General features: G+C 42.9%; 1 protein-coding gene across 2 annotated transcripts, besides 1 other annotated feature; it reads left to right on the top strand.

Annotated features, from left to right (window-relative positions):
* Positions 40-509: a silencer, noted in NCBI's record as "silent region_2216". NCBI's record gives its function as "represses an Ori minimal core promoter by ATAC-STARR-seq in GM12878 lymphoblastoid cells {active_cell/tissue: GM12878}" and the evidence as "EXISTENCE:reporter gene assay evidence [ECO:0000049][PMID:35858748]".
* Positions 232-26666, top strand: MSRB2 (methionine sulfoxide reductase B2). Of its 2 annotated transcripts, NM_012228.4 has the most exons (5): positions 232-379; positions 8797-8897; positions 14895-14971; positions 23957-24104; positions 25411-26666. In NM_012228.4, the coding sequence occupies exons 1-5, from the start codon at positions 262-264 to the stop codon at positions 25513-25515; spliced, it is 549 nt and encodes a 182-aa protein (NP_036360.3). In that variant the 5' UTR covers positions 232-261; the 3' UTR covers positions 25516-26666. The 2 variants fall into 2 exon arrangements, with proteins under 2 accessions (NP_036360.3, XP_011517728.1); XM_011519426.3 differs by lacking the exon at positions 25411-26666 and having other exon boundaries at positions 23699-24104.
* The last annotated feature ends 1041 nt before the right edge of the window (positions 26667-27707 follow it).

The raw sequence follows: 27707 nt of genomic DNA on the forward strand, positions 1-27707 counted from the left end.
CAGAGTGGGAGGAAAGAGGGGCGGGGACCTGGGAGGGCCCAGGGCACATAGTGGGAGGAGCAGGTGGGAAGGAGGGAAGGAGGGAGGGGCAGGGGAGGGAGAAGAGGGGGAGGGAGACGAGGGGACTGGCGGTGTGGGCGGAGCGTGGGGAGGGAGGCCGACTAGCGCAGGCGGACGGGAGAGAATGGGGGAGGGGTGGGATGGGAGCAGGGGCAGAGACGGGCAGAGGGCAGAGGGCGGAGCGGCGCCGGAGCGGGCGTCATGGCGCGGCTCCTCTGGTTGCTCCGGGGCCTGACCCTCGGAACTGCGCCTCGGCGGGCGGTGCGGGGCCAAGCGGGCGGCGGCGGGCCCGGCACCGGGCCGGGACTGGGGGAGGCAGGTAGGACGCGGGTCCCGCAGGCCCCGCCGCCGCCTACGGCTTTCGGCTTCATTTCACCGGCTGCACCCGGGAGCCTAGGGCCGGTCCAGGCCGGGCGCTGCCCTCCTACTAAGCCCTCCTCGGCGCGCCCCTCCCCCCCCCCAGCCCGAGGATCTGGGACAGTGGATTGTAAACTTGGTGGCGGCAGGGTGGGGACTGACCCCTGTGAGAATCCGAGGAAATGAACAAATGATCCCCCTAAATGTGCGCATAATTTTTTTTTTCTTGGCTCGGGGAGTGGGGGCATAAGTGGGGCTCGGGGGCCTCTGACCCCTATCGGGGACTCCAGGCGAAGGCCCGGGGCCTGGGCTGTAGCAGCCCGGCCCGCGCGCCCCTGCGAAGGCCCCTAGTATTTTGCATTGCAGCCCTCTTCGTAGTTCCGCGGGCTTCCTTCCAGCATCTGAGAAGCAGGCAGTTCAGACTTGGGGTTCCTGTGAGTGTTTCCTGCCCTGCTGACTTCCCATAAATGTGTCTAAGAGCCAGGGAGACTGGGTTGATCATTTGTTCCTTCTTTAAGGTGACAGCCATTGTTAATGACTGAGACAGAGACCAGGGCGAGCCTGTGTGTGTGTGTCTCTCTCTCTCTCTGTGTGTGTGTGTGTGTGTGTTTCTGCTAAATACTTTTGGATCCTCTCTTGGATCTGGGTACCTGCACATTTCACCAAGCAGGAAGGAGTCACCTCGGGAGACCTGTGCCAGCTACCCCTGTATTTCAGTTCTATTTCAGGGTAACTTAGTGCCCCAGGGGATTGGCTTCCTGGGCGGTTGCCAGACTGACCCACTCTGAATCCAATTTTATATGTGTTCATTGAAGACATTCAGAGATACCCAACTGATGAAAATGTACCAACTCATTCTGAGCTCTTTTTAGCCCCTGAAGTTTTCGAAATGCAATATTGAAAGAATACGTAACTAAATAAAAGCGTTGGCGTTGTGGAATGTTAGCTCATCCAACTTGACTTCCAGCTATGGCCTTTCTAATCACTGGTGTCTCTAGTCAGTCTGATGACATTTGCTGTGAGCCTACTGTGTGCCAAGCATTGTATTGCTGAGAACCACAGGTGATAGAAACAGGTCACAGTTACCGACGAGCTCTCTATAACCCCTTGAAAAAGGATGGTGGTTTTAGCGGTAACTACTTCATGGCTGTAATTGCTGCTGTCAGAAGCAGCCTAATGAATTGCCCTGGGATCTGAAGTTCTCCAGCAACAATAAAATTTGGCCAGCCACCAGTAGGTAACAGGAGCTGTGTACCTTATCAGACACCCCTCCTGGGAATCTATTCGAAGGAAATAGTTCAAAAGAAGAACAAAGAGATATATGCAAAGATGCTTTAAGCACTAGTCTCTTACAAAATGGAAACTGGCTGTAACCCAAATCAGTTAAGAAATACTTACGTAAATCATGAAAATTCAATCCAACAAACTGTTAGGCAGCCATTAAAAATGATAAACGGAGTATTTCTGTGGTGAAGGGCTTGGGTATGAATAGATGCAGATTTTGAGTCTTGGCTCTCGGTTACTTCCTGGCTCTGTGTCTGAGCTCAGGCTGCTATTGCAAAACACCGTGGACTGGGTGGCTTCAACAACATTTTCTCACAGTTCTGGAGGCTGGGAAGTCCAAGATCAAGGTGGGAACAGATTTGGTTCCTGATGCAGACCTGCTTCCTGGCTTGCAGTTGACTGCCTTCTCACTCTGCCTTCAGGTGACTGTCTCAGGAAGGACCACTAATCCCTCAAGAGAGCCTCACCTTTATGATCTAATCTAAAACTAATAACCTCCCAAGCCCCACCTCCACATTCCATCTCATTGGGAGTTAGGGCTTTAGCATATGGGAGTGGGGAGAGGAGCAGGGAGAACATATAATATTCAGTTTGTAACAATGTCTTTGGACATGTTTCTTGAATTTGGAAAGTTTAAACTTCAGATTTTTTTTCCTTCTGTCAAATAAGGATAATGATAATGGTAGGGTTGTTGTAAAGAATAACTTTTTAATTAAATATTTTGTTACAATGCTTGACACTTAGGCACACAATAAATGTTAGTTATGATTACATAAATAAGTGGAAAGGACAAAAATGTAGCTACATTTAACTTACATCATGGGCTTCGGGAGTGTTGAGAGAGAGGGAGACATTGGGAGGGGGGAAATGAGAAGATATTGAAATGACAGTATTTTTTTCCAGTGCTGCAATTTCTCATATGCTTAGAGTGATTTTTTTTAATCCAGATTGACAAAGAGCAAACTGAAAAAGGAAAGTAAGAAATATTCTGGAGCAAAAAATCTGTTGCTTCAGGAAAATATTCTTTCTAGAGATGACTATGCTAGGAAACTGTCCTGGGCATAGGGTTAAAATAGTCCAGGCACTGGTGGGAGAGACTAGTTCTGCAGATCAGAATGGGCTGGGGATTCTTTTAATACCAGTTTCTAAAGAGTTCCATTAGATTCAACACATTATTTATCAAAATGGAGTGGGCTTATGTGTGACAATTGGCAGTATAGCAACTGTGGCCAGGAAGGTTAGCAAAACCCGAAGGAGGCACCCAGTAGGTGACCATAGGACCAAGAGTGGATTTCCTTAGGGATGAAAAAATCGAGGCCCACCCCGTAGAACTTCTGACCAACAAAATATATGGCCTGTGCAAATCACAGCACACAGAGAGAAGGGAACTCCAAGGAATTTGAGTTTATTAAGGCATAATTCAAAGTAAAGCTGTGTAGTTATCTCATGCAATAGCAGCAACCGATAAATGTTTTCATAGTGAAGATAGCAAGAGAATGTAGAGGGAATCTGGAAAATGTGTAGCCCCCAAAGGATGAGCACGTGGTGCAGAGGACAGAAAATACCTGCACACACACAGAAAAGGACACAGCCAGTGTTGAAACCTCTCTCTAGCCACGGTAGCCAGAAGACTTGACTCATTCCCAAGTGAGAGACCTTGTCGTGTATCTAATTTACACGTGCCTAAATTGCTGTTTGATAAAACTGCTCAGAATTTACTCATACTGTAATTTTTATTTAAACTTTGGTTGTTTTCTAAAGCCCCAGTGTGTTCATTTGCTAGGGATCCCATAACAAAATATCACAGGCTGGGCAGCTTAAACGATGGAATTCATTTTCATACGGTTCTGGAGGCTGGAAGTCCAAGGCCAAGACTTGTCCTGAGATTTGTCCTGAGACCTCTTTCCTTAACTTGGGGATAGCTGCCTTCTTGCTGTGTCCCCAGGCGGCCTTTTCTCTGCTGTCCCTTCCTCTTATGAGGACACCAGTCTTATTGGACCAGGGCCCCCTCTTAATGGCCTCATTTTGACATGATTGCCTCTTTAAAGGCCCTGTCTCTAAATGCAGTCACATTTTAAAGTACTGGGGATTAGGACTTCAACATATGAATTTGGAAGTTGGCGGGCAGGGAGTGTCACAATTCAGCTCATAACATCCAGGTCAAAGAAACCTCTTAAAGTGATACAGCCCACATATAACCTGACCTGGGTGTACCCAACTGAGCGTTCATCATTTTGCTATCAAAGCAAAGTCTGTCTGCCCTTGACTGAGCCTTCTAGGCTGGCAAATTCTGCAGCTAAATGTTGCATAATTGGTGCTTGAACAAGAACTAGTCTAAACATTATTGCCTACCCACTAAAGTTTTCGCACACATTAAAAATAGTGTAAAAGGTCCACATTGATAAGGATTAAAAGAACCATTAAAAATGTCCTTTCCATATTGTACTTAGATGAAGGCTTAATTCTTTTGGTTAGCAATTTAAATACTAGTTATATATTTTAAACTTAAAAAGAAAATATTATGGCGTGGCACTGTGTCACGCACCTGTAGTCTCAGCTACTTGGGAGGCTGAGGAAGGAAAATCGCTTGAGTCCAGGCATTCAAGGCTGTAGTGTACTTTGATCATGCGTATGAATAGCCATTGTGCTCCATTCTGGGCAACACAGTGAGACTCGGTCTCTTAAAAAAATTAGGGCAGAGGGAGAAGGTGGTGTCTGAAGAACAGATAGTCACTCTCTAATACGTGTAACAAAATATAGAGGTGTGGGAGAGGGAGCTGGGAACCCAGACCAACTCAAGCCTTAGGTTCAAAGCGAAAGAAGTACATGTTTTAAAGCTCAATTCATGAGAGTCCCACTGACTTTTAGCTCTTCTCTAATTCCCACTTTCCAGTGTCAGCTACTATAGTGTACTGCCTGTTGAGTCACACTAAGGACAGTGCTTCCAGGAGACAATAGGGTTTTTTTCTAAGCCCATTCCACTTCCTGCCTGAAAGGAGACAGGAAGATAAAGCCAGCTTCACAGACTGTAAATTCCAACCTTTGTACCTGAAGTTGGTCCTCTTACCTATCTACAGGAATAATGCAAGATCTTTGCCAAAGCTAAGAGGAGGGTGTTTTATCATGATGCGTTTAGTCCTTTCCTTGACAAATGTCAATGATAGCCAGAGATTAGGTCTCACAAATTCCCCCACGGGACCAGAGTTTAGATCTGGGAGGAGGAACCCAGGACATACACTCTTTCTAGCAAAGCCTGTTCTTGCTCTTTTTAGTGCCTCTGGCTAAAGCATTCTCTTTTTAAATCATTTGAGGTGGCCAAGAAGAGACAGGATCCTGAACAGAAGTGGCAAAAAAACAGACAGGAAGAGGCTTGTATTAGTTTGTTTTCACAGTGCTATAAAGAAATACCAGAGACTGGGTAATTTAGGAAGGAAAGAGGTTTAATTGGCTTACGGTTCCACAGGCTGTACAGGAAGCATGGCTGGGGAGGCCTCGGGAAACTTACAATCATGATGTAAGGTGAAGAGGAAGCAAGCACATAAGCAAGCACATCTTACATGGTCAGAGCAGGAGGAAGAGAGAGAGGGGGAGGTGAACTTTTAAACAACCAGATCTCTCGATAACTCACTATCACGAGAACAGCACCAAAGGGGAAATATGTCCCCATGATTTAATCACCTCCCACCAGGCCCCACCTCCAACACTGAGGATTACAATGTCACATGAGATTTGGGTAGGGACACAGAGCCAAACCATATCAGAGGCAGTCACTCGTTCCACTGTGACAAGATGGAAAAAGGGTAGATGTAGGTATTAGTAAGTGTGATGGTTTGGTAGCCAGAAGGTTTGTGGCTTTTGATTTTGCAAAAGTGAAATCTGTTGAGAGGAAGGGGAGACGTAGTAGATAGATACCATGGTTTGAGGAGAGTGGAAAAGGTTTTTTGTTTTGTTTTGTTTTGTTTTGTTTAATTTCAATAGCTTTTGGGCGAACAGGTGTTTTGTTACATGAATAAGTTCTTTCTTTAATGGTGATTTATCAGATTTTGGTGTACTCATCACCCGAGCAGTGTACATGGTACCCAATGTGTAGTCTTTTATTCCTCATCCCCCTCACACCCTTTCTTCTCTGAGTCCCCAAAGTCTATTGTATCATTCTTATGCCTTTGCATCCTCATAGCTCAGCTCCCACTTATGAATGAGAACATACGATGTTTGGTTTTTCATTCCTGACTTACTTCACTTAGAATAATAGTCTCCAATTCCATCCAAGTTGCTGTGAATGCCATTATTTTGTTCCTTTTTATGGCTGAGTAGTATTCCATAGTCTATATATATACCATCATTTCTTTATCCACTAGTTGATTGATGGGCATTTGTGTTGGCTCCATATTTTTGCAATTGCAAATTGTGCTACTATAAACGTGTGTGCAGGTATCTTTTTCATGTAATGACTTCTTTGCCTCTGGGTAGATACCCAGTAGTGGGATTGCTGGATTAAATGGTATTCTACTTTTAGTTCTTTAAAGAATCTCCACACTGTTTTCCATAGTGGTTGTACTAGTTTACATTCCTGAGAGTGGAAAAGGTTTAAAACACTCATTGCAGAGAAATGGGAAGAGAGCTGACTGGGGAAAGATGGTTCCATGGTTCACTGAAACCCCAGTGAGATGAGTAACTTTGAGTTTATAAGGACAACCCTCTCCCCAGGTGGGGGATTTTCTCCAGTAGTGCTTGATGGTACACGGGTAGCCATGGAGAAGATAGTTTTTTAAATAAGCTTTTTTATTTTGGAATAATTTTAGATTTATAGACAAGTTATAAAGACAGTACAGAGTTCTCAAGACCCCTCATCCGGATCCCCCTGGTAATCTTCTGACATCATCATAGTACATTTGTCAAAACTGTCTCTGTCTTTCATGACCTTTACAGTTTTGGGGAGGACTGGTCAGGTTCCTTGTAGAATGTCCCTCAGTCTGGGATTGTTTGATGTTTCTCCTCACAATTAAACTGGGATTATGGGCTATTAGGAAAAATCTCATAGAGATGCAGTTCCTTTCTAGATTCATGTGCTCTTCCCCATCTCTCTCCCCAACACTGAGACACACACGCGCAAACGTACACTCACACACTCACACTTACTTATTTATATTTCTCTTGCTAAACCATTTGAGAGTTGCAGACATCATGACACTTTACTGCTAAATATTTCGGCATGTTTCCTAAGACCAAAGATGTTTTCCTACAAAACTGCAAGACAGTTTTCCTCTCAGGAAATTGAGCACCCTTGTCTAATACACAGTTGATATTCAAATTTCCCACCATATACCAACAATGTCTTTTATAGCTCTTGTTTTTTTTTCTGGGATCTAGAATTTAATAAAGGGTCACACATTGGTTTTAGTTGTGGACAGTCCTTCTTTTGAATAATTTCCCTCAATTTTCACTTATGTGATTTTTTCTTCATGAGACACTGATTGAATGTTTTCAGCAGGAAAACTTTACTGGTGATGTTGTGTCCTTTCCAGAGCATCACATCAGGAAGACAGGATGTCACTTGTCCCACTGTTGGTGATGCTAACTTAGCCTACTTGGTTAAAGTAGTGGCATTTTCTTTTTTGTAATTAATAAACTTTGGGGTTGTATTTTGAGAAGATGTGACTATCTGTTCCCCAGTAGTCTTTCACCCAGGGGTTTTAGAATCCTCTGATGATTTTTACAAAATGGTGATTTTAAAAATTCTATACTTCCTTCTTCATTTATTACTTGACATTCTGCGTGATAACTCTGAAGGCCATTGAGCAATAGTAATTATCACATAAATACATTTTGTTTTGTTCCCAAAGTGTCGAATACCCCAAAAATCATGTGTTAACTGAGGTATATTCCATAGGAATTTCAGAGATCTATTTTCATAGCAAAAAGAAACCCCTGTAGTCTTATAAAGATTGTATTTAATAAAAGATACCTCCTAGGGGAGCCCTTGTGTAAAAATAATAACAGTAATAAAAAGAAAGAAGAAAACTTTTAATATATTAAATAGCCTAAAAACCTTTTAGCAAAATGTAAGCAATCAACTATATGTATCACTGGAAATGCAGTATTGTTCAGTATTATAAACTGGAGAGGAGATAAGTCTTTTCTTGCCGAAGGATAATTTAGGACTTTTTTTGTAACCTAAAATGAATTTCAACTGTAACTTCTGACGTGTTTGATATATAGGTGCTGGCATCACGGGCATTCAACGTTTCATCTTCAGTGCCATAGTCAGATTACTAACCCTTTGGGCCTCTGTTTCTCATCTGCAAACTGAAGAGTTGGACACATTATAAAATCCTTTCAGATTCTTAATGTTGGATGATTAAAAACATTTATTATAGGAGTTGGGCTTCCTACTCCCTTTGGCTAAAGAGAGTATTGCTCTAGTTACTTGGTTTACACTCACGTGAATAAATGTAGTAATATAGATGCCAAGGTGAGTAGGAAAGAAGAAAACAAAATATGGACAAAAACCATGAAGCATCATAATAGATTATGGTAGGTCTGTTTCTCTTTCAGGACTATATGCTATGGGAGTTTCTTCTTTTGTTCCATGCAAGAAGATTTTTAAAATAGAGACCTCCCTTGACAAAGAAAATCAGAGATATCCTTATAAACTAGCAAGGGAGAAGAGTTTAATAACCGACTAGCTCACAGTTCTTTTCTGCCCAATGCCTCAACTACTTCTGGCTAGATTCTGACAGCAACTGCTCCTCTAAAAGTCATCAGAGAAGAGAGGATCAGTTTCTACCCTTAGGTACCCGAAGGGAATGTATTCCGCATTCTTTCATATTTCAGCTGCCTCTTTCACTTCTGTGCCCCAGGAAGACTAGAAAACTGGCTCTCTACTTCTTGTTAATTTCTTATTAAATTAAATAGTCAATGAAGGCATTTTGTGCCTGAGCCTTCTGGTCCCCATGAAGAATAAACTCGTGGGAGAGAGAGGAAGGGACTGGATTATTCTGCTGGGTGACAGTACACTTAGGGAAAAAGGTCAAGGAAGAAAAGTCCATCAGGCATTTTTGTTTTAATTTTTAAAATTCCTGTTTAACAATACAGGGTCTCTTGCAACGTGTGAGCTGCCTCTTGCCAAGAGTGAGTGGCAAAAGAAACTAACCCCGGAGCAGTTCTACGTCACAAGAGAAAAGGGAACGGAACCGGTAAGCTAAGCTGGTTTACAGTTTTCTGATTGCATGTGTTGGCAGTGAGGGGCCAGTTGGAATAGGTCCAGCTATGAAACCCAGCTGCCCAGCAACACTCCACAGGCCTGGTCTTCCTCTTCCATTGTGCCCTTCTCGGGGTGTTGATATCCATCGAGTTGTAGAAACCTGAAACTTTTCTCTGGACACAGCATCTCTATTCTGACTCCTAAATAACCTTCCTGTCATTTCACTTCCATGCACCGCTGTCACCTCCCCGTGGGGCCAAGTCACCATCACCTTCTCTGTGCATGGCCATTCTTGCTCCAGCCAACCCATTCTCCACACTGCAGCCAAAGAGTTCTTTGGAAAACACAGATCTGACCATATCACTCCCCAGCTCAAAACCTTTGGTGGCTGCCCAGTGCTTTCAAGGAAAAAGAAAAGTATGAGATGGCTAATAAGGTCCTAACGGCCCCTGGCTCCCACCCCTATCCTCAAATCCAGCCATCTTCCCTCTTGACACGGTACTTTGGCCACACCACCCTTGAGCTCTCACATGCCCTGGGCTCCCTTCTCTTTTAAGGCCTTTGCACCCAGCTTTCCTTCTTCTCTCCCGTCATCCCTCCCCACACTCTCCACCCATTCATTCAGACCTACCTTGTAGCTCTCGGCCCAAATCTCACTTTCTCTGGCAAACCTTCTCCTAGCCCCCAGCTAGGGTTGCTTCTAGCAGAACTCTTCCTTCATAGCATTTGCCATCACTGCTGTAACCCCTGGCACCTAACGTGGTGGCTGGCCTAGTAGGCATCCGAAAAATCAACTTTTGTGAATGTTGAATGACTGCCGGGTAAGAGGTGGAAACATTATTTAAACTGCATTTGGCAATCTCAGCTTTCATTCATTTTCTGAGAGAACAACCCTCAGTGGTTCTTCATTATAACACCACTTTTTACAGTGCTACATTTATCTCTCTCTCTCTGTGTGTCTGTGTGTGTGTGTGTGTGTGTGTGTGTGTGTATACAAGTTTCTGGGGTACTTGAGAAAATTTGTTACACATATATAATGCATAGTAATCGAGTCAGGGTATTTAGGGTGTCTGTCACCCGAATACAATACATTTTTGTTAAGTGTCATCCTCCTACTCTGCCATCAAACACTGAGTGTATTCCTTTTCTCTTACTGTATGTTTGTGGACTTTAAGCCACTCCTCTTCATCCTCCCCCTACCCCCTGCTTTCCAGGGTAGGAAACCCCCTTTCCAGGCTCTGTTATCCATTTTTCCACTCTCTACCTCCATGTGTTCAAATTCTTTAGCTCTCACATATAAATGAGAACATAGTGCCGCGTTGCTTAACAAGTGGTCTGTCTTAGACCCAAATATAGCTACTGGAATGTAGCTTTTTTGAATTGAACTTTGTTATTAGATATTTTTACTAGTGAAGCAGATCCCACAGAGTGGACCCCAGCCCTGTGGCTTCAAACATAGTAGAGTATGAATGTTTTTTCCTTTGTCAGCACCTGCAAAACTCATGTCACTACCCACATGCACTGCCATTGTAATCATGGTCTCACCCTCAGTTTTTCCAATGCTAAAGTCATCAGAAGGGCCAGCACATTCCAATAAAGTCCCCTGAAATGCTGGTATTTTTGAAAACTTCCTGTAGGCGGGATTTTACTAAAGCCCTTGTTGGGAAAGAGACTACATTAGCCATTTGTGTAGACTGCACAAGGGAACCACATGATACTCTGTGAGCAGTTGTATGTATTCCCAGAGTATTCTAAGCCAACCCTAATTCTCAGGTACAGAGCCAGGCAGGGCTTGGTACATAGACAGACCCTAGAGATGAGCTGCCAGATGTTTAGGAAAATAAATCTGTGGGCTTCTCAAACAGATGGTGCAATATACTCTCTGCATTTGGCCATTTGACAAAATGAGCATCATTCATTATTTTAACTAATGTTATAAATCCCTTTCCATGGATCCATTTCCACGTTTAACTTTTTAGAGTATTGCAGAAATGTAAGCCTTCATTAGCTTTGTTCACCTAAGAGAAGAGAAATAAAACATCGAAGGCTTCTCTTTGGTGACTCTAAATTAAAATTCCCTCCCGCATGTTTTTTCTTGGGCAACGGTAATGTGCTAGCACTCTGCTAGACCAACGAATAAATTTACAGGATGGCTGAGCAATAACTGAAAGTCAAGTATCAATAGAAGGGAGGTTTTGTGCAGGTCATTCTCTGTCTACTCTCCAGATCCACTCTCCGCGGGCTCCCCTGCTCTGAGCTCTAGGAAGAGTGAGCAGCTCCCTTTCCCCCAGCTATTGATTCAGTTTAGCCAGTGGGAGACAACAGTGAGATCAAAAGGTGGGATGGAGAAATCGCTAGAGCCCAGCGTTCTCTCTGTGGGGCTGCAGGATGGCAGTGGCTGTGTTCCTGTACTGCAGGTGGCCCCTCTTGTAGGCAGCCCTCCCCTGCAGGTGCAGCCTCACCAGGTTCTGGCCACTCCCTCTTCCTTTGTCCCACAGGCCTAGTGGAGGCCATGGCTTCTCAGAGTCATTAGCCCAGGGATGCGTTGCCCTCACTTGTGGATTTCCATTGGCCCCGTCTGCACCTTTGTAAACAGTCCTGTGTGAGGTTATCTGCAGTCATCCCTCTTGAGTGTGTCATCTGTTTCCAGCAGGTGCGTTGTATTGACAAGATGGAATGGTGAACTGCCATTGGTCCAGCAGACCTTGCAATCCCAGGGGAATCTTGAACATCATTCTCTCTCTGACCCTGGCCCCTCCCTGTGCAGCCAGGCATTTCAATTCTCTCTTCTAAGTATTCTTGAATCTCTTCTCTTTCTTTTATTTCCACTGCTCTGCCTGAGCAGGAGCACACTCCAGGCCTGCATGTGTGATGGAGGTCGGATTGCCCTCTGCCTCTGGTGGCATCTTGCCCCATTCCAGCTCATTCTTTACCTGAATGTCAAGCGATCTTTCTAAAAACCAACTCCAATCAGGCGTACACCCAGTTCACAAGTTTCCAGTAGCTTCAAATTTCCAGTAGGACACAGTTTAAGCTGTTTGTCGTGATCTAACCAACCCCATCTGGCCTGGTCTCACCTGCCTTCCGGCATCATCTCTCTCCATCCTCCTCTTTGCCCTCTTCTTTCATGTGGGCCTTGACCAAGGTATTCTGCCTGCCAGAAATACTCTTCCATTTCCTCATTCAATTAACTCTTACTCTTCAAAAGTCAGCTTAGTGTTGGCATTTTTCTATAATAAACAACCATCAGTTGTGCAATTTAGAATAATAATAAAAGGTTAAGAAATAAAAAGACTTCCTCCCATCTCAGATAATATCTGATACAGTCAGCCTTTGTGGAAACTCCCCCCTTCGTAGTGAAGGGTACAGCGCTACCCGAACTCCATGCCATCTCTATCATAGCTGTCACCACATGGTATAAATTGTCAGCTCACGTGTGTCTTCCTCCCACTTAGGGAGCAAATTCTTTGAGTGCAGAAACTGTTTTGCTGCCCACCTCTGCAACACTAGCACCCAGCTCAGCCTGGGTTTATATTAGATTATCATGTCAATACTAGAAATGAGATAGAAGCTGAGTTTAACCCTAAATAAGTTACAGGACTTGTATAAAATTGGAGAGGGAGGGAAACATCAGGAAGCTAGGCAAGGAGAGAGTGGGTAGATGTCATTTCAGAAACTATGTTGGCTGAGTATTCCTTTTCATTGATTTTTTTTTTTTTTTTCTTGAGATGGGGTTTTGCTCTTGTTGCCCAGGCTAGAGTGCAATGGTGCAATCTTGACCCACTGCAACCTCTACCTCCTGGGTTCAAGCGATTCTGCCTCAGCCTCCCGAGTAGCTGGGATTACAGGTGCCTGCCACTACACCCGGCTAATATTTTGATTTTTAGTAGAGATGGGGTTTCACCATGTTGGCCAGGCTGGTCTTGAATTCCTGACCTCAGGTGATCCACCCGCCTTGGCCTCCCAAAGTGCTGGGATTACAGGCATGAGCCACCGCACCTGGCCTTCACTGATGTTTTAATTTTTATTTTGCTTACTGTGATAGCAGTTATCTATCACTTCCTCTGTCCAGCTGCCCCCCTGCAATAATGAAATTATGTTTTGAGTCTTTCCAGGCTGTCTGGATCCTATGAAAAGGCTTTTCTAGATCAGCCTTAGGACTGGCAGTCCTGTTTTGCATGCATTCATCTTCAGCCCAGGTGGGAAGGATGGGAAACTTCCTCTTTTTTTTTTTTTTTTTTGAGATGGAGTCTGGCTCTGTCGCCCAGGCTGGAGTGCAGTGGCACAATCTCGGCTCACTGCAACCTCTGCCTCCCAGGTTCAAGCAATTCTTCTGCCTCAGCCTCCTGAATAGCTGGGATTACAGGCGTGCTCCACCATGCCTGGCATTTTTTTGCATTTTTAGTAGAGATGGGGTTTCATCATGTTGGCCAGGCTGGTCTTGAACTCCTGACTTCAGGTAATCCACCTGTCTCGGCCCCCCAAAGTGCTGGGATTACAGGCATGAGCCACCACACCTGGCCAACTTCCTCTTCTTCACAGCTGCTAACTAGTGCCAGTGTTGGAAGCAGGCATTTGAGGGGACCGGCCATAAAGGACCAGCTCACTACTGTTTGGATTTCTGCAGCTAAGTTTAGGGTTTTAAAGAAGGAAAACATCCAAGTGTACCCAGATGGTAGGCTCAGTAGGTTAATTTGAAATTGTCTTTTATACAGCTCACTGCAAATGTGCTGTTAATACTACCACAGGGAATTTGGATGTTTAAACTGTGAATTTTTTGAGTTGGGAAGCCTGGAGGGATCTGAAGATTTCCTGAGTCAGCTTTGTCACTTGGTGAGCTGTTCTGTGCTCTGGCTTTCCTCTGGCCCATAGGAGGGGACAGTGCCTGCCGCCAGGCCCTGTGATAGCGGATCTTCATGGTCAGCTTGTGCAAGGGTTGTTTTTTATTTAATTTTCTTTGACAGGGGAGATGACAAAAGAAATTGGGCAAAAATGGTCTTTAAAAAAAAGTCATCAGCCGGGTGCAGTGGCTCATGCCTGTAGTCCCAGCATTTTGAGAGGCCAAGACATGCAGATCACTTGAGGTCAGGAGTTCGAGACCAGCCTGGCTAACACGGTGAAACCCCGTAAAAGTACAAAAATTAGCCAGGCGTGGTGGCGTGCACCTGTAGTCCCAGCTATTCGGGAGGCTGAGACAGGAGAATCACTTGAACCTGGGAGGCAGAGGTTGCAGTGAGCTGAGATCGTGTCATTGCACTCCAGCCTGGGTGACAGTGAGACTTCATCTCAAAAAAAAAAAAAAAATCAAGTTTGAGAAATAACATTTTAAAAAATATTGACTTGGCTAATTCATTGACTTGTCTCCTTGTTCTCCTCTCAGAATACCTCTGAAAACTTGCAAACCCTGTAACCCACAATGAACGCAGTAATTTCATCTAAGTAGTAACCTGGGCACTGAGGGGGTGGGGAATCTAGCTCATTATTTAACATTTATTAAGTATGCTGTGTCCTAAACATTATGTGAAGCATATTAAAGGCAAAATGCCTGATCTCACTGAACTATGCTTTTTATGTATTTATATTCTGTCTTTAATTGGAGATTTCAAAGTATGTTAGACAGTGGACTAGATTCCTGTTGTATTAACTCTTTTAAAAGGGAGACCGAAATCTCACACAGTCACAGAGGACAAGACTCTGTTTTCTTGCTTTTTCACCGACTTTGATGCTCTTGGATGAAAAGTCCTGTATGAATACAAAGATTATCAAAGTCATAATTTGAATATTGGGTGCAATAAAGCCCAGGCTGTAAATACATCTGCAGGCTGCTTCATTGGGTACATTATAATTTTCTCTCTGGCGTTATTTGCACTTCGTCAAATTAGTACAGAAATTCCTTGATTTGGGGACTTACCCAGGATTTAAATCTGCTGTTTCAACTCCTGCCAGTAGTATGAGAAATCTGAACATGACATATCTAATTTACTTTCAGCCTTTCAGTGGGATCTACCTGAATAACAAGGAAGCAGGAATGTATCATTGCGTGTGCTGCGACAGTCCACTCTTCAGGTAAGATAAAGAATTGAGAGCCACGGAAGGAGACCAAACCTCCAGGTTCTTACTGCTTTGTTTCATTTGAGATCTTGGATAAATAAATACCCATAATACCCATTTTGTTTTTTAAATTGCTCTTCTCATTTTGCATTGTTGCTGTAAGGAGAGCTATTCATATAAGATACTTGCCTGTCTTGACTTTTTTTTCTAGCATTTAGAGCCATTAACAAGACTTCTTAGCTTATATTCTTCCTTTCTCTATCCTCAAGAAATAGCAAGGAAATAAAACTCAGTGGGCCCCTTATGATAAAGCTATTAGAGTTTTTTTTTTTTTAGAGGGAAAGTATTTAAAGAAATCTAAACCGTGATTATATTTGCTGGGCCATGTGATTAAAACTCTCTCCCAGGGAAAATGGGTTTATAATTTAATTTAGGAAATGTAGAATTTTATGAGGATAGATTCCCCACAATGCTTGACAGTAGCGAATACCATACCCTCTTCTATATAGCTAAAAGTAAACTTATTTGTCCCTTGATTTCAAAGCCTCTTTTAAGTCAATCAGGATCTGAAATCTCTCAACAAAGGCTTTTTTGTTTAGACATGCAGGAAACAGTCTTAAAAAAAAGTAGATTCGATGGAGAAGAAAGGAAAACATCTTTGAAGTCCTATTTTTCAGAACTTCAAAGATGTTTTCCTTTCTTTTGCATCAACCCTAAATTGGTTTAGAATAAAATATAAATCAAGCCAGCTCTGTGCATTGCCCATTAGGCAGTGCTTCCTTCTGTCCTCTGGGCTTTGAGCAGTCTGGGCCTTCCTGCCCGGCTGGCTGCTAATGTGGGCTGCCTTAGGAAGCCGGACCCGCCTGCAAGGATGAGGAGCGATTAGCATCGATTTTCCTCCGTGCTCACAGATGGGCAGGCCTTTGCCCGGATGCATTCACGTTGGCATGGGGGAAACTAGAAGGAGGTTAATTTTTGCACAGTAAAATGTGGGACTCAGGTTTCTGAGACAATAGTTATTTCTTGACCTTTGGTTGTGTTAAAGAGGAGAGGTAGGATTTTGAGATGGCCCATGAGCTTTCAGCCATAGAACCATGCTGCCAGCGTGTCAAGGGCTCCCTTGTTACCGCAGGCACCAGGCAGTGCTCTGTCTCCCTCTTTGCACTGTGAATACAGAAGATAAATCATCCTCGCAAGAGCATTCTCTTAAATCACAGTCTTCACTCTTCCCCTTCCTTGATGTTCCGGTTTCTGCATCTGAAAAAGGGGGGGACTTCTTCCCTTCCTTTCACCTTGCAGGCTTAGTTGTGGTGTCAGAATACTGGAGCCAGGAGGGTCCTGAGTCCAGAGCAGAAAGCTCTGTCCAGTAGAACTTCCTGTGGTGATGGAGATGTCTGTATCTGGCCATGTGGTAGCTGCTCATCACATAAGCTTGTTAAGCACTCAAGGTGTGGCTAGCATGGCTGAGAAGCTGACTTTTTCAATTTAATTTTAATTAATTTAAACTTAAATTTAATTTTAATTAATTTAAACTTAAATTTAATTTTAATTAATTTAAACTTAAATTTAATTTTAATTAATTTAAACTTAAATTTAATTTTAATTAATTTAAACTTTAATTTTAATTAATTTAAACTTAAATGTAATTTTAATTAATTTAAACTTAAAAGGCCACATGTGGCCAGAGGCTACTATATTAGCACAATGCTAGTTCAAATTAAGGAAGTTAAGTGACCAACTCCAGGTCCTGGAGGTTGTGAAGCAGCCAAGACTAATAGGAAAACCAGCCGATTCTCCAAAAGCCCATTGACCAAGTGGCCAGTTTATGAGACTGCCAATTCACTAACTTTATTTGTTTTTGTGTAACCATTTAGTTTGAGCTGAAAAGTTTCCATTTTGCATTCTTAAAGACTTCTGAGTTTGTTTCTCTTCCCCTTTCCTGTTGCTGCTACTGCAGCTGAAGGAAATAATATATTCCTGAAGATTATTTATGTTCCAGAATATACTATTCTTAAAGATGCACTCATTTATGGGAGAGGCAGTAGAATGGTTAAGATTGCCAAGGTGTATATCCTGGCTCCATTGCTGTGTGACCTTGAGCAAATTTCTTAACCTTTCTGTGTCTGATTTCCTCACCTGTAAAATGAAGATAATAGTACCTAATTCATAAGGTTGTTGGGAGGATAATCTGAGTCATGAATTAATACATGGAAAAGCATAGAGCAATGCCTGACATGACTGACTCAGGCCAGGCACTTGATGCAAGTTAGTAATGATGTTTTTGTTGTTTTGTTTTGTTTTTTGAGATGGAGTCTCGCTCTGTCGCCCAGGCTGGAGTGCAGTGGCGCGATCTCGGCTCACTGCAACCTCTGCCTTCCAGGTTGAAGCGATTCTCCTGCCTCCTGAGTAGCTGGGATTACAGGCGTGTGCCACCATGCCTGGCTAATTTTTTGTATTATTAGTAGAGACGGGGTTTCACCATGTTAGCCAGGATGGTCTTGATCTCCTGACCTCAGGTGATCCACCCGCTTTGGCCTCCCAAAGTGCTGGGATTACAGGCGTGAGCCAGCGCACCCGGGCGTAATGATGTGTTCTTAAGCAATAGATCCCTCTTAGGGCTGTATACATGAATGCGCTTTTGATCCTGAGGAATTCTGGAGGATATATTCTAATTAATGAGAACATACAAATGCAGACTATATTCCTGAGACTTCTTCCTGTTCAAGAGGAGTTTTAGAAATATATTCTGGTTTTGCCTCTCATTTTCCTTCTCTTTCTGTCTCTGGTCTCCAGTCTCTATAGTAGGAAGCAGAGGTACAGAAAAAATAATTCCTTCAAATGCTTGTGTGGAGTGAAAGTGAAGGGAAAGTTGGTCAACCAAAACTAAGTAGTTCTTTTAACAAGTAAATGCAGGGCTCACTCCTTTGAGCTCCCTGCTCCAGCTTGGCTGCTTCCTGCCTGGGACTTCCCTTCATGCTGAGCTGGCCTCCTGGGATCTGCTCAGCCCCACTAATACTAATTGAAATTCCACTTATTTTTGGATCCCAGATTTCTCCTGAAACCTTCTCTGATAGCACACACCATGGGTTTTTTTTTAATCTGCTTCAAATTCCTATTAATTTATCAGTATCACACAATTTAGGACCTAATTATTCTCCTATTGGATCAAGTATTTTATTTAGTTAAGGAGATAAACTTGATTAGCTTTCGAGTCCCTTGGCCATCTTATGCTTCTTGGACAAGGCTCATGGAAGTTGTTATGGGATGAATTGTGTCTCCCAAAAAGACATGTTGAAGTCTTAATCCCTGTAAGCTGGGAATGTGACCTTATTTGGAAATAGGGTGGCTGCAGGTATAATTAGTTTAGATAAGATCATATTGGAGTAGGGTCAGCCCTAATTCCAAAATCACTGCTGTCCTTATAAGAAGAAGAGAAGCCCAGACAGAGAGGAGACAGCCATGTGAAAACGGAAGCAGAGATTGGTGATCCGCAGCTACAAACCGAAGACTGCCTACCTTAGAAGGTAGGAAGAGGCAAGGAGGGATTCCCTAGATGCTTCAGAGCCCTGTGGACACCTTGACTTTGGACTTCTATCTTCAAGATTGTGAGAGAGTACCACCCATTTTGTGGTACTTTGTTACAGCCACCTTGGAAACTAATACTTAGATGCTCCATAAGTACGTATTGATTGGTTGATTAATAATATCCATCCTGCTGCTTAGACATCATAGCAATGTTGGGACTATCAGAAGCTGTGGTTACGGGCTGAACGTGGTGACTCATGCCTGTAATCCCAGCACTTTGGGAGGCCAAGGCGGGTGGATCACTGCAGGTCAGGAGTTCGAGACCAGCCTGACCAGTATAGCAAAATCCTGTCTCTACTAAAAATACAAAAACTAGTTGGGCGTGGTAGCACATGCCTGTAATCCCAGCTACTAAGGAGGCTGAGGTAGGAGAATTGCTTGAACCCAGGAGGTAGAGGTTTCATTGAGCTGAGATTGAGCCACTGCACTCCAGCCTGAGTGACAGAGTGAGACTCCATCTCAAAAAAAAAAAAAAAAAAAGCTGTGATTATGAAATCACTGTGAAAATGTGAGGGAAGTGGCTGCAACTTCTTGAGCACTTACATGCCAGACACTGGGCTCTAGTACTTTGCAAACAATCCTCACCCTCCAATAAGGAGCTATTAAGACCCTCACTTAACAGATGTGAAAACTGAGGCTTAAAGAATTTAACTAACTTGTTCCAGGTCACTTGTCTAGTAAGTGATAGTGCAGGGATTTGGGCTCCACTGCACTCTTCTTGAGAGTGGGAAGCACCCCAGCAATGAAGGAGCCCTCTGGGCACGCGGCAGGTGCCATGCCCAGGCTCTTCATGTGCATCGTTTCGTCAGACCTCTCGGCAGCTCCCCGTAGTGTTATTATCATTCTCATTTCACGTGAGGAAACTGAGAGCTAGGAAGATGAAATAACTTGTCCAGGGTTCTGCAGCTTACAGGTAGCCAGCCAAAATATGAACCCACAGTTTTGGACTCCAGAGCCCACATTCTTCACTAGCTGAGCTTCCATTAAGCCACACGGGCAGCTCCGTTGACATAGGTGCCATCGCCTTTTGGTGCCTGCTTTCCTTATTACAGGTGTAAGTTTCCCAGAAGACATAACCAGCCTCTGAGAGTGATCCCAGCCAGTGTAACTCATGAGTTCCCTTTCCAGAGCCTTGTTCCCAGCCTCATCCACCAGACTTAGCGTCATTCTCCTCATCATCCTATAATTGTTGGAATGAGTTTGGTGCACAGTTTTGGAGAGCTTCTGCCTCTCCAAATCAGACACCTTTAATCAAAGGTGTCTGGGTCAAGAACACTTTCCAGAATGTGTTGTCACACTCCTAGGGACTCCAGACTCTCTTTCCTTAACTCGGAATGAAGTGACATTGCCCATCACTGCCACTTCCTCTCCTCCTTCTCCCTTTCTTCTTCTACATGAGCCTATTTGGAATGTGTTTATTAAAATCTATTGTGGGATCACATATTTCATGATCACAAATCTTCTTAAAATAAGAGGAAACAGAGCCTGATACTAGTTCACCTTTTACGTAATATCCTGATGTCGTATGTACCATGAGTAACTAAGTAATATTGTTAAAAACCTTCTGTATGCCCCATTCCCTCAAAGGAATAGAAATTCTTCTAAGAGGTTAGGGTTGTCAGTTATCACCAAGTGCCTGTGCTGTTGGTTTGGGACCTGTAGAACTTCCAGAAATCAAGGAAAACCAAAGCAAATAAAACGAAACAAAGTAAAAATCCCTTAGAGTATATGATTCAGAATGGTTTTAGTTCTTCAAGGGCAAACCTTACAATCTGCTAATCACTTAAATATGTATATTGGAATTTCTGATTGGCTTTAATATTTTGGTTCCCAGTCTTAACTTATATATGTTAGGCCTCTCATATTACTTGGTAAAAATCTCCCGATTCTGCTAATTGCATCAATAAAGGTTTATTGTTTCCCATAAAATGCTTTAATGAGTTTTTATTAGCCTTAGTTTCATTTATTTAAAAAATTTTATTGTATTCATAATTCTCAATCAAAATACCTTTAATGATCACTAGTTGATATATAATGTTGAGGATGGAAAGACTGGGATTAAAAGATACTTAATGATGTTTTTCCCTGAGCAGAGTGGCCAGATGAATGTTTTTGAACCCCTGGAGGAGGGTTGCAAAGAATCCGACCTGAATATGCAGACATTTCTAGTTGGACCCACAACTGCTCACATTCCATAGATTTCTGGTATTAATAATAAAAAAATATTAAAAAATAGCTACCAACTCAAGTGCCATGTGTCAGGTACTATGCTAAGCACACACACAGAAAGTGAGGTGATAATGCCATTGCTATTGTTAGCTTAAAACAATCATACAATCTATAAATTTAGAAAAGGAGACTTTATTTCTTCTAAAGGGTTACAGCCTTCAAGGTGGCCATCCTACAGGCTGGGAAGCGAGCTCCCAGCCAAGAGCAGATGCAGGCACTTGGAAGGGGGAGCAGCTGGGGTAGGAGCTTTATGCTGAGAGGGTTGGCTAAATATACCTATTTAACAGATCACAGAAGGGGCTATGAAAATTTGTGAAGATGGTCCTGACATACACATATTGAACAAACATGCATGTAACATATGACCTATGTTTATTTGGGGGTAGAAACTTAACATTTAAATGTATTATAATTAGATCCTATACATCAAAAGGTCTTTCAGGATATGAAGGCCCACAAGTGCACAGCCTCTGTAAACCATCCAGAACCACTTCATGGTCTTTTAATCAGGAGAAAGTTACTAAAATCAGTCTCTTGTGCAATCAAAGCTGTAGTTACGGCTGGTGGAACAGAGGGTCTCAGCTAGTCAGTGTCTGATGGTAGATGAGCTGCAATTGCTTCAACACTGCTTATCTCAAGGCCAGTGATTGTTTAGCTGCTAGAGAAGAAGAAAACCCCTGTGGCAGTTAGAGTTGATTCTTTAAGTGTAGGGGTGCATGACTTCACCCTCGCCTGGCATGGCCTTAGGTCCTGTTTATAATTTGGTATATTATTGCCACAAAGAGGCTGTTCTGCCAGTCTTATGATCTCTATTTAAACATTAATGCTGGTCATTTGTTGTGTCTAAACCACAAAAGGGAGAGGGTATAATGAGGTGTGTCTGACCTCCTGTCCCATCATGACCGGAAACTCGATTTAAAGGTTTTTCTGGAGTCCTCTTGGCCAAGAAGGGCTCTATTCAGTCAGTGGGTGGCTTAGAACTTTATTTTTAGTTTATACTTATCTATAGACTAGGATGCTGAGGCTTCAAAAAATTAAATGACTTGCCAAGGTGATACAGATGTAACAGACAGATCCCAGATTCACACACAAATCTTTCAGAAGTCAAAGCCCTTCCTCTAATGGCTATACCTGTGGTTCTTAAAGCCTGGTCTGAGGACCCCAGAGATTCCTGGGGGGGACCTTTCTAGGGGCTTTTCCAACCACACTTGAGACCACTTGAGGCCACATCCTCTTATACTCCAATCAAAACAACATAGCAACAGACTGAATTCAGAGGCACATATGAAGATTCAGTTGTCTTTTTTTTAAGCCGGATGTTAAAGAGCCTTGCAAAATTGTAAAACAGTGCAACTCTTCTCATGAAATGTTTGTTTCATTTTGAAAAGTATAATTATTTGCCTTAAATATATGTTATGTTAACATATAATAAATTTATTTCAGGTTGAGCATCTCTACTCTGAAAATTCGAAATCTGAAATGCACCCAAATCTGAAACTTTTTTATTTTTTGAGACAGAGTCTCGCTCTGTTGACTGATCTCCACTCACTGCAACCACTGCTTCCTGGGGTCAAGTTATTCTCCTGCCTCAGCCTCCCAAGTAGCTAGGACTACAGGCATGCACCACCATGCCCAGCTAGTTTTTCTATTTTTAGTAGAGAGGGGGTTTCACCATGTTGGCCAGGCTGGTCTCGAACTCCTGAGCTCAAGTGATCCACCCGCTTCCACCTCCTAAAAAGCTGGGATTATAGGCGTGGGCCACCACGCCAGCAAAATTCGAAACTTTTTGAGAACCAACATGCTAGTCAAAGGAAATGCTCACTGGAGTATTGCAGATTAAGGATGCTTAGCCATCAAGTAAAATGCAAAATTCAAAAAGATCTGAAATCCGAAACACTTCTGGTCCTAAGCATTTCAGATAAGGGGCACTCAACCTATATTAAAAAAAAATTAATGCACACATATTTTTAAATTCTCATTTATAATGTATAATTTGTTAAATGTTGACATACGTAACTCACAGACAAAAGCTCTCAGCAATCCCTATTAATTTTGGGGACACAGAGGGGACATGAGGGGTGCCGAGACCAAAATGTTTGAGAATTGCTGCATTACACAATTGTTTCTGTGGGAGTTTGTGCTGCCAGCTAGGCTTCCTTCTGTGTTCATAGTCTAGGGATTTGATTCTTTGCTACTTTTTCTTCTTAGATTAGTTTTTTGTTTTTTTTTTTTTTTTTTTGGCTGGGTCTAACATTCAGTTCTTCTCTTTCTTCCTTAGATAGAGAGAGCCATTTCCTTGCCACAGCAATTTTTGAAGTCTATTTTCCCAGTGCCATTTAAGGGAGCTTATCCATGAGAGCACTTAGAGGGTGGGTCTTTGGTGAGTGGATTTGCCTGCTGTCCTTCTCCTTGTGCCAGCATCATGAGTCCCTGGGAGACTTCTGGAGGGTTAGGTTTCACTGCAGTGATTGATGCCAGGTACCCAGGCGTATTAATTAATACTAATCATCACCATCACAGCAAGCATTCAGGGAACTTACCATGTGCCCAGCACCGTGCTAAGCTTTATGTCACACTTCAGTTTCCCCTCAAATCCTCAAAACAGCCCTGTAGGGTAGATATTATTCCCATTTGCTAGGTGAGCAAACTGAGGCTTCAAGAGCTGTGGTTTCACACAGCTAAGAAGTGGCCAGAGGCAGCTTTTGAATCCCTGGTCAGGCGTCTGTGTTGAGATAACCTGAAATTCCTGTTGCCAAGCATGACTTTCTCATCAGACCTTACACTTCTGCGCTGCTCTAAGATGATGATGACTTCCTCCGAGCATTAGTATTTCGTTTTGATTTCTCCCCTTTTGACATTTTCAACACATGGGTTTGATCTGTGTTACCTAATATGCAACACAGTTCACAAAACACCATGTGTTTTTAGATCCTTGTTGGATATCCAGAAAGAAGTCTTTAGCATCAAAGGATCAAGAAGTCCTTCCACTTCGAGAGGCAATGGCTTCGATAGTGAAGGTGCAGTGAGGACGATTCCGGGGGGACTGACTGTCGAATAACTGGGCATGGGATCTGGCAGAGGAGAGTGGGAACAGATCCTGCTGCCTGGAACAACACATCGGGGCACCTCTTGGCATGTTAATGACAGTGTCATTAGCAGCTGTAGTATCGTTTATGTCTTCCACAGTTCTGAGAAAAAGTACTGCTCTGGCACTGGGTGGCCTTCGTTTTCCGAGGCTCATGGTACGTCTGGCTCTGATGAAAGCCACACAGGGATCCTGAGACGTCTGGATACCTCGTTAGGATCAGCTCGCACAGAGGTTGTCTGCAAGCAGGTGAGGTTTCTCATTTTGTTTTACTTTCCCTGATGCTGCCCCCAATGCCACAAAGAGCTCTCTTGTTCTTGGCAAATCTGGTGTCCTTTTATAGGGGTACTTTCTTTTGTCTTCAGAACACATGGGGTTTCTTTTTTGTTTTGCTTTGTTTTGTTTTGTTTTGTTTTGTTTTGAGACAGTCTCGCTCTGTTTTGCAGGCTGGAGTGCAGTGGCATGATCTCAGCTCACTGCAGCCTCCACCTCCTGAGTTCAAGTGCCTCAGCCTCCCGAGTAGTTGGGATTACAGGTGCCTGCCACCACACCCAGTGAATTTTTGTATTTTTAGTAGAGATGAGGTTTCGCCATGTTGGCCAGGCTGGTCTCAAACTCCTGACCGCAAGTGATCCACCTGCCTCGGCCTCCCAAAGTGCTGGGATTACAGGCGTGGGCCACCACACCCAGCCCAGAACACATGGGGTTTCTACACATGCCAATAACGATCACTCTCTCCCTTCAATCTGGGCACTGCAAAAAAGAGAAAAGTCTTCTCCAGCCTCTCTCTAATGTGGCCTTTCCTGGTTCTAACCTTCCACAGAGATGAGAACAGAGGTAGGATCTTCACCTTCTTTTGAGCAGGGATAAGGAGCAGGAAGTCCTTATCCTGTCAGAGTGACTGGCATCTCATCTTTGACTTACCCAGTGTGACTGGCACCTCCATCTCTCCACCCTCCTTTTGCACCCTGCAGCGTGTCACTGGCCTGCAGAGCAATGCTGCGGGTGACGTCAGCACCTCTGCCTTCTGTGAGCCCCGTAGGAGAGAGTGGCTTAAATCCAGATCACAAATTCATTTTGATATCCTTAGCTGCTCACATTTTCTGACTCATGGGTTTTGTAAAACATTAGAGGCAAGCTGATTAAGATAGCGTGGTTTTGCCTTAAGTAATAAATAATAATAATACACTGGGTACTACAATATTATTCAGTACTTACCCAGGAATTATGTTAATGCTTTACATGTAATATATCAATTAATTGTCCCCACAGCTCTCTTATGTAGGTATGATAATTATCCCCATTTTTAGATGAGTAACTGTAAAGGCCCAAATTTAATAACTTGCTCACATCCTATTGATAAAGTAAAACTATTTACCATGACTGTGTTCTGCTTTCTTTCATTTCTTAATTGAATTCGGATGCAATAGACTTTTTCTCCTAACACAGATGTCAGACTCCGGAGTGGAGTGATTTTGGGGGGGTTCGTCTGTCTGGTTTTACATAAAGAGCTTTGTTTGCATTTGGAGATGACAGAGGCTTCTGTCCTTTGCAGTGTGAAGCTCATCTAGGTCACGTGTTTCCTGATGGACCTGGGCCCAATGGTCAGAGGTTTTGCATCAACAGTGTGGCTTTGAAGTTCAAACCAAGGAAACACTGACCATCTTCAAGAGTCCCGTTCCCTTGCCACCCCTTCACGTGCACCCTCAATTTCCACAATTCACTTGAATGACTTGTTTTATTTGCAATAAAACTGGGCTGAATTTGCTGCTGTCTCCAGCGAGTCATTGCTTCTCTTAATTTATTTACCTGGAATCAACTTAATCCTGTGTGTTAGGCTGTTCTTGTGTTGCTATAAAGAAGTACCTGATCAGGATCTGGGAGAATTTGAAAAAAAAAGAAAAACTAGAAAAATAAACAAAATTAAAAAGAAAAAAAAATACCTGAGACTGAGTAACTTATAAAGAAAAGAGGTTTAATTGACTCACAGTTCTGCAGGGTGTACAGAAAGCATGGTGCCAGCATTTGCTCGGATTCTGGGGAGACCTGAGGGAGCTTTTACTCATGGCAGAAGGTGAAGGGGGAGCCGGCGTCTCACATGGCAAAGCAGGAGCAAGAGAGAGTGGTAGGGAGGTGCCACATACTTTTAAACAGCCAGATCTCTCAAGAACTCACTCACTGTCACCAGGACAGCACCAAGCCATGAGGGATCCACCCTCATGACCCAGTTACCTCCCGGCAGGGCCCACCTCCGGCACTAGGAATTATACTTCAACATAAGATTTGGAGAGGGAAAACATCCAAACCATATCACCCAACTCCCACTTGGAGTAGAACTTCACAAAACGACAGAGGGACAGCTGTTTCCATCAAACACTTCCACAGCTTCACCTGAGACGAGGGCATGACTCTGGGAACATCAGGAGGCTGATGGACTATTAAGCCAAACAATTCCTACAAAAATTCCCTGCACCTTCCACTGCGTTTCAGTCCTTGACAGACATAAGTAAGGGATCAAGTGAGAAGAGGAAGGAAAATACAGGATCCAAGGAATCAACAATGCTAGCACTGAAGAGCAGGATTACGGAGGAGCTGTGCTCTGGGAGCATATATGGTGATCAATCAGATGCATGACTTTTTTTTCAAAATTTTAAATGTCTTGAGCATGCTACTTCCAACCATTCTACCCACAAATAAACTGCAATAGGACTTGGTTAGATTTCAATGATTATGAATAAATGTTCACCTTCATACCTTCTGGTTACAAAGCTAAACTTTAAAATGTCCAAATAAAATATTCACTAAAATTTATGTTTGCTTTTTGGCTAAGTCAATGAACATGCTCTTTTATAAAAAAAACTCTAGCCAGGCGTGGTGGCTCACACCTGCAATCCCAGCACTTTGGGAGGCCAAGGCAGGCGGATCACCTGAGGTCAGGAGTTTGAGACCAGCCTGACAAACATGGAGAAACTCCATCTCTACTAAAAATACCAAGTTAGCCGGGCATGGTGGCACATGCCTGTAATCCCAGCTACTTGGGAGGCTGAGGCAGGAGAATTGCTTGAACCCAGGAGGTGGAGGTTGCAGTGAGCCAAGATCACACCATTGCACTCCAGCCTGGGCAACAAGAGCAAAACTCCATCTCAAAAAAAAAAAAAAAAACAAAAACAAAAACCAAAAAACAAAAAACCTCTAAATTAAAAATGACAAATAAGAATTGGCTCACATGGTAGCAGGCATTTGGTTATACCAAGACTAATAGCAACTCAAGTATTTCACAAATCAAGAGTCTTGAATAATTTGTTACTGAAAGTATATAAATCATTCTCTTTGTGACTTTATGGGCAAAAAGGAAACTTGTTTATACTTTTTTTCTCTTTATGAACTTGTTATATATTATTTTACATTTCTTTTAGTAGCAACCATGGAAATTACAACATGCTTCCTTACTTGTTACCATCATATGTAAATTATTACTTATTTTGAGTTCTCCAGGAATGTTAGCCTTAGAACACTTTATTAACATCCTCTCACATTTTGTTTTACTATTCTCATGTATTTCATTTCACACACACTTTAAAGCCCCCAAACCATTATAATAATATACTAAAATATGTACGAATATATACTAATAATTAGTATATAATGAATCAGTATAAAATATATAATATACACTAATATGTATACTAATAAATATACACTAATATATAACATACTAATATATAATAATATATGTTTTTAGTATATGTGGTTGATACTCATTTATATTTACCTACATATTTGCCTCTTTTGTTGCTCTTTTATTTCTTCCTGCAATTCTGTGTTTCCCTGTGTGATTATTTTTCTTCTGCC

Source organism: Homo sapiens, chromosome 10 (assembly GCF_000001405.40).
Source record: "Homo sapiens chromosome 10, GRCh38.p14 Primary Assembly".
Taxonomy (NCBI): domain Eukaryota; kingdom Metazoa; phylum Chordata; class Mammalia; order Primates; family Hominidae; genus Homo; species Homo sapiens.